The sequence below is a fragment of the Homo sapiens genome, chromosome 7 (genome assembly GCF_000001405.40).
Source record: "Homo sapiens chromosome 7, GRCh38.p14 Primary Assembly".
Taxonomy (NCBI): Eukaryota; Metazoa; Chordata; class Mammalia; order Primates; family Hominidae; genus Homo; species Homo sapiens.
This window is the reverse complement of record NC_000007.14, coordinates 134,316,051-134,324,188: the sequence shown is the minus strand read 5'-3', so window position 1 is coordinate 134,324,188 and position 8,138 is coordinate 134,316,051. Positions and strand designations below refer to the sequence as shown.

The window sequence follows — 8,138 nt, the reverse complement described above, 5'->3', positions numbered from 1 at the left end:
ATAAGCATACTAGCGCAGGTATCTTTTTGATATAATTATTTCTTTTCTCTGGGGTAGATACCCAGTAGTGGAATTGCTTCAAGAAATCTCTCTATTGTTTCATAGGGGTTGTACTAATTTGCATTCCCACCAACAGTGTATAAGTGTTTCCTTTTCTCTGCATCCTCACCAACATCTGTTGTTTGTTGACTTTTTAATAGTCATTCTGACTGGTGTAATTATGTGATTAGTGATATTGAGCATTTTTTTTCACATGGTTATTGGCTGCTTGCATGTCATTTTTTGAAAAATGTCTGTTTATGTCTTTTGTCCAATTTTATAATGGTTTTTTTCTTGTTGAGTTGTTTGAGTTCTTTGTAAATTTTCTTCAGGTAATTATTCGTACTTACTTTCTCTCATAGCAGGTACCATTTTCAAACGCTCACCTGTTTTGTTTATGAGTCCCTTAAAGAGTAGCTGGTTTTTTGAAAGGTCCTCTTCCTTCCTTCCCTGCTTTTTCTTTCTTTCTTTCTCTTTCTTCTTTCTTTCTCTCTCTCCTTCTTTCTTTCTTTTTCTATTTCTTTCTTTCTCTCCTTCCTTCACTCCTTCCCTCCAGCTGTTACTTACTGAGCACCTACTATAAGCCAGATGTCATCCAGATATGGAGGATACTGTGGCTAATAAGACAAAGCCCTTGTCCTTGGGCCACTAATATTCTGATCAAGAAGGTTTTCTTCCTAGCCAAAATGTCATACTCCCAAATTATAGTAATCTGAAAAAATATGTCTTCAAATAATGCCCTTGAAAATATTAGCATTCATAAGTCTATTAATATACCAGGGCATTGCTTGAATCTGACCTATGAAACAAACAACAAGAATATTTTGACTCTATGAATAATATCTGAAGTATATTTATAGTGCACAGCTCTAAATATCTCAAGATTTACATAATGCAAAGATGAGAAAATAATCATCATATGATAGATATAGAAAAGATGTTTTAAAAAATCAAATGACAGATCTCTGTAGGATTGGCAATTTGAGACTTATCAGGCAGTATTCCATCAGAGGTATATTATTTAATTTTTTGTCAACAAGTTGTTTAAGTGAATTTTACAAATGATTCAAAATGTGTCTGAGTGTCTAGAACTAGAAACAAAAATGGCTTTTAGAACAAGCTTGACAGCTTTTCCCACTGACAACACTAGGTCAAAGACAATGAACATTCCCAAAGTGATAGATCCTTCTTTATAAGGTAAGAGGACTGTGAAGAGGTTTAAACATGTTGAGCACAGCTGGTGTCTAAGAAGTTGCTATTCATTCAAAAATGTTAGAATTCTGAACTCAGGGTAATAAAAGAAGAAAAAAAGATCTGTGAGATGAAATCATAGCTATACTTCATAACTTTGGTTTTATGATAAAACAAAATGTTGAAGTCGGCATGACCCCCAAAAAAACTCTTGGATGTTCTAGTTGTCAATTTATGGCCTCTCCACTCCAAATCCACCCTTCATGGCCTTGTTTGGGATGCTGGAGCTTGACCCTGTGGACGTTTCTCCTCTGATGGGGAGCACAGTGTGGAGCTTTGTCACAGAGGGGGCTGCAGGGACACTGAGGGAGGAGTTCTGGTTCTGGTGTGCTTTCTTCCATGTTGCTCATGCAGTGCTCAGCCAGCATGTAGGATACCCTGGGGAATTCACCCTGGTGGACTAACTAGTATCCTCACAGCTGGTATCCAGAAAATTCTGCCAGAGCTCCACCCAGCTTCCTAGCAAGTACAAAACTTCCACCAGCAGCTTCTCAATGAGCTGACCAGTGCCCTACCTGGACCCCAGAGGATGACCCTAGGTGAGTTTCATCAGCACCTCACTGAACTTCTCTGCTAGCCAGAGGACTGCAGCACTACCCCCTTCAATGAGGTCTGAATCTCCATTTGGGGAGGAGGGGAGAGGGCCCTTTTCCAAATATGTTCTTTTCTTGGGTAGTCTGACTCAGTCTTATGTAGTGGCTACTCCTTGTATCTGCTATTCCCATAATTTGGGGAGTTCTTTTAATCCTTTATAGTAGTTTATCTTCTAGTTAATACTACTAGTTAATAATTCTTTATATTAAGCTTTCTTTGTTCAAATTACTATACAATTTTTGCCTCCTGACTGGACCTTAATTGATACGCTGATATCCAATAGAAATGTACAAAAGATATGTACAAGATATTTCACAGTAGCACTATTAATAATAGCCAAATTGTCCATCACCAGAGAACAAATAAGTTGTCGTATATTCATACAAGGAAATGTTATGCAGCAGTAAGAATAAATGAGCTACAAATACACAAAGAAATGTAGCTGAACTGACAACATAATGTTGAGAAAAAAAAAAGAAGAAACAAAAGAAATATACTGCATGATTCCATTTATGTAAAGTGCAAAAGCAGACCAAACTTATCTTTGGTGCTAGAAAGTCAGAATAGTGCTTGCCCTTGGAGGGGGTTAGTGATTGGAATGGGGCACAGGAGCTGCTGGAATGCTGGTACTCATTTATTTCCTAACCTGAGTATTGGTTATACACCACTGTTCATGCAAATTCACTGAGCAGTACATTTTTGATGTTTACATTGTTAAAATTAGTCAAGCTGAAAAATATCATGTATTCATGAGGTGTGAATTATTTGACTACTTCAAGCTGATTCATTCAGTCATTGAATAGAAGGTATATGCACATATTATGTACCAGTCACCATGTAAGATGCTGAGGATCTAGAGATAAATTAGTTATTTGTGGATTCTGTTCATCAAAGGCTTAGTCTAGAGGGGGAGACCAACATGAAAACAGATAACTACAGTGCAACATGATTAATGGATTAGTGGGGGTATGGAGGAGTGCTGGAGGTATAGAGAAGGGAGCCATGAATGGTTCATTGAAAAGCAGCCAGGAGCAGTAGCTCATCCCTGTAATCCCTGCAATCCCTGCATTTTGGGAGGCTGAGGCAGGTGGATCACCTGAGGTCAGGAGTTCGAAACCAGCCTGGCCAACATGGTGAAACCCCGTATCTACTAAAAATACAGAATATATATATATTCTGTATATATATATATATATATATATATATATATATATATATATATATGCCAGGTGTGGTGGTGAGCACCTGTAATCCCAGCTACTCAGGAGGCCAAGGCAGGAGAATCGCTTGAACTCGGGAGGCAGAGGTTGCAGTGAGCCGAGATCGTGCCATTGCACTCCAGCCTGGGCAACAAGGGCAAAACTCCCCCTCCAAAAAAAAAAAAAAAAAGGAAAGAAAAGCTACACACAGAAAAGTGACATCTTAGCACAGCACCTTCCTCCTGCACAATATAGAGGTATCCACTGACTCTACTGTCCTCTCTGGCCACCGTAAAAAGATGAACAGGAGTTGGCTAAAGAGAAAAGGATATTCCAAGCAGACAGAACAGCGTATGCACAGATAAGAATTTTGAAAGTTACTGTAAACTCAGGGAAGAGAGTGAGTTTATGTGGGTGGAGCCCAGGTAACCCTAGGGAGAGTGACACAAGGTAAAACCAAAGAGGTAAACTAAGGCTTGATTGTGATGTTTATATGCCTTCTACTAAGCGTGGCTTTTACACAAGGAATCAAGAACATTGTATATAGCTAGACTTCAAAGACGTCCCTCCCACACAGACACAACTGATGATTTTGTTAGTTTTCTCCCACAGTGAATCAGGCTTGGTCCTATGGAATCAATAGAATGTGGTACAAGTGGCACTGTGTGACTTCAGAAGCCACGACGGCTTCTGACTTAATATCTTGGAATGCTTGTTCCAGGGGAAACAAGTTACCATTTAAGAATTCCAACTATCCTGAATCCACCATGTTGTGAGCAAGCACAGCCTAAGAGACACCATGTCAAGAGACTTGCTCCTGCCATCTCGGGGATCAACCCTTTCAAGCCTTCAGGGAACTCCAACCCCAGCCTACATCTGACTGCAACTGCATGAGAACCCCAAGAGGACAGAGCAGCTGTGTGCTGGGCACAGTCAGCACACAGAACCTGAGTGAGAAATACAGTGTGTGGGTTTTTTTATTTGTTTGTTTTGCTTTGAATCACTACAGTTTGGGGTGGTTTGTTATGTCGTACTACACAATTAGAAAAGACATCTTAGAATAGCAATGGGACATGAAGATTTTGGGTTTGTTTTTGGAATCAGCCTGGAGGCAGCAGGGAGGATGGGTTAAAGAACACAGAGGCTGAAGGCACCAAGATGTTAGGAGGCCTTTACGGGAGAAGAAGTGGATGTCAATGGGAATGGACAAGAAAGGCTGGAATCTAGAGATACTTGTGAGGTGGAACCGATGGGATATAAAGAGCAAATAAATGTGCAGTGGAAAAAAGAGGAAGACCGAAAACTTTCAGGTTTTTCCCAAAGAGAAGAAGTAGAGTACAATGTTCTTAATAGAAATAAAGGCCTATTAGGGAGGGTAGGTAATGAAATGTGTATGCCCTAATGGTGAGGGGTTTACAGGGAAACATTAGTGAACATTCCAAAGACACTGGAAATTTTGATTAAGGACACAAGGGAGATGGGGGCTGTACATAGACACACACGCAGGATCACTATTCCATATGGCAGTGGTGGAAGTTCCAGAGGTGAAATCGCCAAGAGAACATGTGCAGGGCAATGAGAGGAGGGAATAAATGATGGAACTCTGAAAGGAGAACCCAGTGGTCAGAGGAGGAGAGCCCATTAAGGAAACTGGAAAGCGTAAGTCAGAGAAGTCAAAAGAGAAACAGGAGACTCATGTCTTATAAACAGAGGGACAAGAGAATGTCAAGAAATATTGGGTTTTCATTGTAAAAAGCCACTGCCAGATCAAGTAAGGTGAGACTGTGTTATATGGTTTTCACAATTAAGAAGTCATCACGGCTCTCAACAGGACTGCTTTTAATACCCTGGCATTGATCAGAGTAGTTTAAGAAGCTGATTGGAGATTTAACAAGTAGAGACTACGAATGTAGATTACTCTTTAAAGAGAGTTGATGGTAAAATGAGGGAGGAAGAAAGATAAGTTAGTTTCTTTGAGCATGATTTTGGTCTGAGAACAGGTTTGCTAGCAAGAGTTCTCTGAGCAAATGAGAGGGGAGGATAGAGAGGTCTTCAGAGTTAATGATTTTACAGGCTTCTGCTCTCCAAGTGCAGTCAACAGGTCAGTAGCACCAGCATCACCTGGGAGCTACTTAGAAATGCAGAATCTCAGGCCATGCTGCAGGCCTAGTGAATCAGAATCTGCATTTTAACAAGATCCCCAAGTGATTAACATGCACATTAAATTAATACTCACTGCAGTAGGTGAAGACAGAAATGTGGAGGAAGGAAGAAAGATACAGAACTCTTGCAAATATTACAGTACTCAGGCCATTTTTTTCTTGTGCAATCACTTAGACATGCTTGGGTTTTTATCTGAGATGTAATGAGAAATGTTTAGAACATCCTTTAAGGGCTTCCAAATTAGTGGCATATATGGAAAATGAAGGTCTGTGTGAAGAGAAATCACCTCTAATGAAATCCAGATGAAAATCCAGACCAGCTTCCTGTTGGCAGGATTATTGATAGTGGAGGTGGAGATATTATCATTGCTTCAGCCTCACTCCCAGATAGTCCACTTTACTTGGTCTGAGGTAGAACTGGTACTATTATATACCTGTATATATACCAGTTATATATATATATATATGTGTGTGTGTATATATGTGTATATGAATATAACTGGTATATATACGTGTATATATGTATATATAATTCATTGTTTAATGTGCCAGCACTGTGCAAACTCAAGACGGGTGCTCATTAAATACTGAATTTCACAGGTAGTAGGCTTTCTATTTATGTTAGTTCTTCTTCCTACTCACCTTTTTAAGGCAGCAGTTCTCAAATTCTAGAATGCATTAGAATTAGAACGTGGAGTGCTTGTTAAAAATACAAGTTTCTAGAACCCATACACAAGGATTTTGACTTGGTAGGTCTAAAGCGAGACCCAATAATCTGCACTCGATAACGAGTACTTCAGATGATTCCAATGTGATCTCCCAGTCACGGACTGGGAAAAAAGCATTCCAAACTATTTTGTAGATCTCGAGAAAGACTTCAGAATGTTCGTGTCTCACAGGAAATAGCAAAAACAATATAGCATTCCAAAATCCTACCTAGCTTTGTACCGTGTACTTTGCTATTGCTGTTGGATTCAATTACAACGGAAATATTTGATGTGGTAAAATACTGAGCAGTGATGCTAACCTTTTATAGTAGACACTGGGAAGCAGAAAGGAAGTGTAAACACGTTTCCCTTAAAAACTAGTCTTGCTGGGTGGATAAAGTGTGCATACCTATTTTACAAATAAAGAATAGTGCCGCACTAGCTTATGTACGTAATATGTGCTTAACAAACATTTGTTCATTGAGTAAGTAAGAGTCAAGTCGAATGGCTCAGATTGTAAGTGCTATGAGAATTCCACTGTAAGAAGAGGGAAGTATGCCTTCTTTTCACCATTAAAGATCTGATTGCTGATATTGGCATTTTTGCCAGTAGAAGAGCCTGGACGTTGGCAGTTTTCAAAGCCCCCAGGTGATTTGACTGCGCAGCTAAGTTTGAGAACCACGGAGGTAAAGGAAGGGAGTACCTTAAAGAGCTAGGATTAGGGATAATATCAATAGATCACCTTTAAGGCTGCACCTCAGCCTAATTAAATCAGAATCGCTGGGGGTGGGACTTGGCTATCAGTCATCTTTAAAGCTCTCCAAGTGATTCCAATGTACAGACGTGGTTGAGAGCCATTGCTTTACTTGAATTCTCAGTGGTTCTTAATCCTGGCAGCATAATAGAGTCACCAAAGATACATATATATATATCAGTTCAGGAAGCAGAGTTGTTTCAGATGCTAGAACACCTCCAACGAGCAGTCACAGCTCTGTAGTTCTAGTGCCGCCGCTGCCAGCAAGTTTGTTGTGACCCTGGCGGCCGAGTTACTTTCAGCGCTCTGGGCGGTCTCGCAAGAAACACTGACGCTTTGGGACTTCATTTCCCAGCAAGACCCGCGGCCGCCTATCGCGCGAGTCATGCCGGGCACCTCGTCCCCCTGTCCTCTCTGGCGGAGCTGCCTGGCGGAAGCGGGAACGTCGCATCCTGAGGTAAAGGTGCACGGCATCCTGGGACATGTAGTCTGGCCGGGGCTCGGACGCCCCCTCGGATGAATGGGACCGAAGCTGACTGCGAACTACAGCTTCTTGGCAGCGTCGGTGTTGGCCGCGGGAGAAGGGGAGACCGCGGCGGCCCCCAGTGAGAGCGGCTTTCCAGGACGGTGCGATGTGCTGCGCAGCGAAGAGGCAGGAGGCCGGCTTCCTGGGGTAGCGGTACAGGCGGGCGCTTACTCTGTGCGCTTGCTTCCCCAACCCTGCACCGGCCATGCGCCCGGCCTTGGCGGTGGGCCTGGTGTTCGCAGGCTGCTGCAGTAACGTGATCTTCCTAGAGCTCCTGGCCCGGTGAGTGACCCGCTCGGGCCGCACCCGGTCTCCCGGGGCGGGGCGGAGGAAGCCAGAGGAGAGGTCCCCCCGGGACGCGCCCACGCCCTGTCCCCACCCCGCCGCCCACGGAGCCCGGGGCAGGACGGCCTGAGCCCCCCAGCAATCCGTCCTGTCTGGGCAGCCTGGGACCCCGCTGAGTCCGCTGCTTCCCAAAACTGCGCACCGGCGGCAGTCCCGCCTAACAGTTTCAAAGCATTCCTGCGAGGGGAAGACTCAGGGTGTTGCTGTCGTCACCCCTTTTCCACACTCGGGGGGTATTGAAGTCTGAAGAGTTTTTCACATGACCAGTCCAAGGTCGGCAGAGAGCTAGTGTCAGAACCAAGGTTCCTTCACCAAACCACTCTCTCTTCCTTCCCATCCAACTCTAGCTCTTTTTTCGATCCTGTTAAATGGCACAGGCTGGACTTGAGCAAAGGTTTTTGACTTGTAAAGCAGTCTGACTTTGTACATACTGCAAAGAAAGTTTTATTTTTATTACGGCATCCTGCAAAGCATTTGCTTTATTGGCCTTGGAAATGGTTATGAGTACTTTGCCCAAACATACATAAATGATGCGGTAGAACAGATTTTTATGTAGAAGAT

The 8,138-nt window shown here is 42.7% G+C and overlaps 1 protein-coding gene across 7 annotated transcripts in view, besides 2 other annotated features; it reads left to right on the top strand.

The window, feature by feature from the left end:
* Positions 1 to 3,850: 3,850 nt before the first annotated feature.
* Positions 3,851 to 8,138, top strand: part of SLC35B4 (solute carrier family 35 member B4) — a 31,007-nt gene continuing 26,719 nt past the window's right edge. For 6 of the 7 annotated variants that reach the window (XR_001744890.3, XR_001744889.3, XR_001744888.3 and 3 more), the window contains exon 1: positions 7,259 to 7,514. Coding sequence is in view for 3 of the 7 variants with exons in the window: in NM_032826.5 (NP_116215.1) it covers positions 7,438 to 7,514 (77 nt within the window). In the remaining 4 variants the exon portion in view is untranslated. Of the gene's footprint in view, positions 4,051 to 7,258; positions 7,515 to 8,138 lie in introns of those variants that run through there. The other variant, XM_011516645.4, reaches the window with a different exon arrangement.
* Positions 6,739 to 7,468: an enhancer, noted in NCBI's record as "active region_26689". NCBI's record gives its function as "activates an Ori minimal core promoter by ATAC-STARR-seq in GM12878 lymphoblastoid cells {active_cell/tissue: GM12878}" and the evidence as "EXISTENCE:reporter gene assay evidence [ECO:0000049][PMID:35858748]".
* Positions 7,549 to 7,718: a silencer, noted in NCBI's record as "silent region_18672". NCBI's record gives its function as "represses an Ori minimal core promoter by ATAC-STARR-seq in GM12878 lymphoblastoid cells {active_cell/tissue: GM12878}" and the evidence as "EXISTENCE:reporter gene assay evidence [ECO:0000049][PMID:35858748]".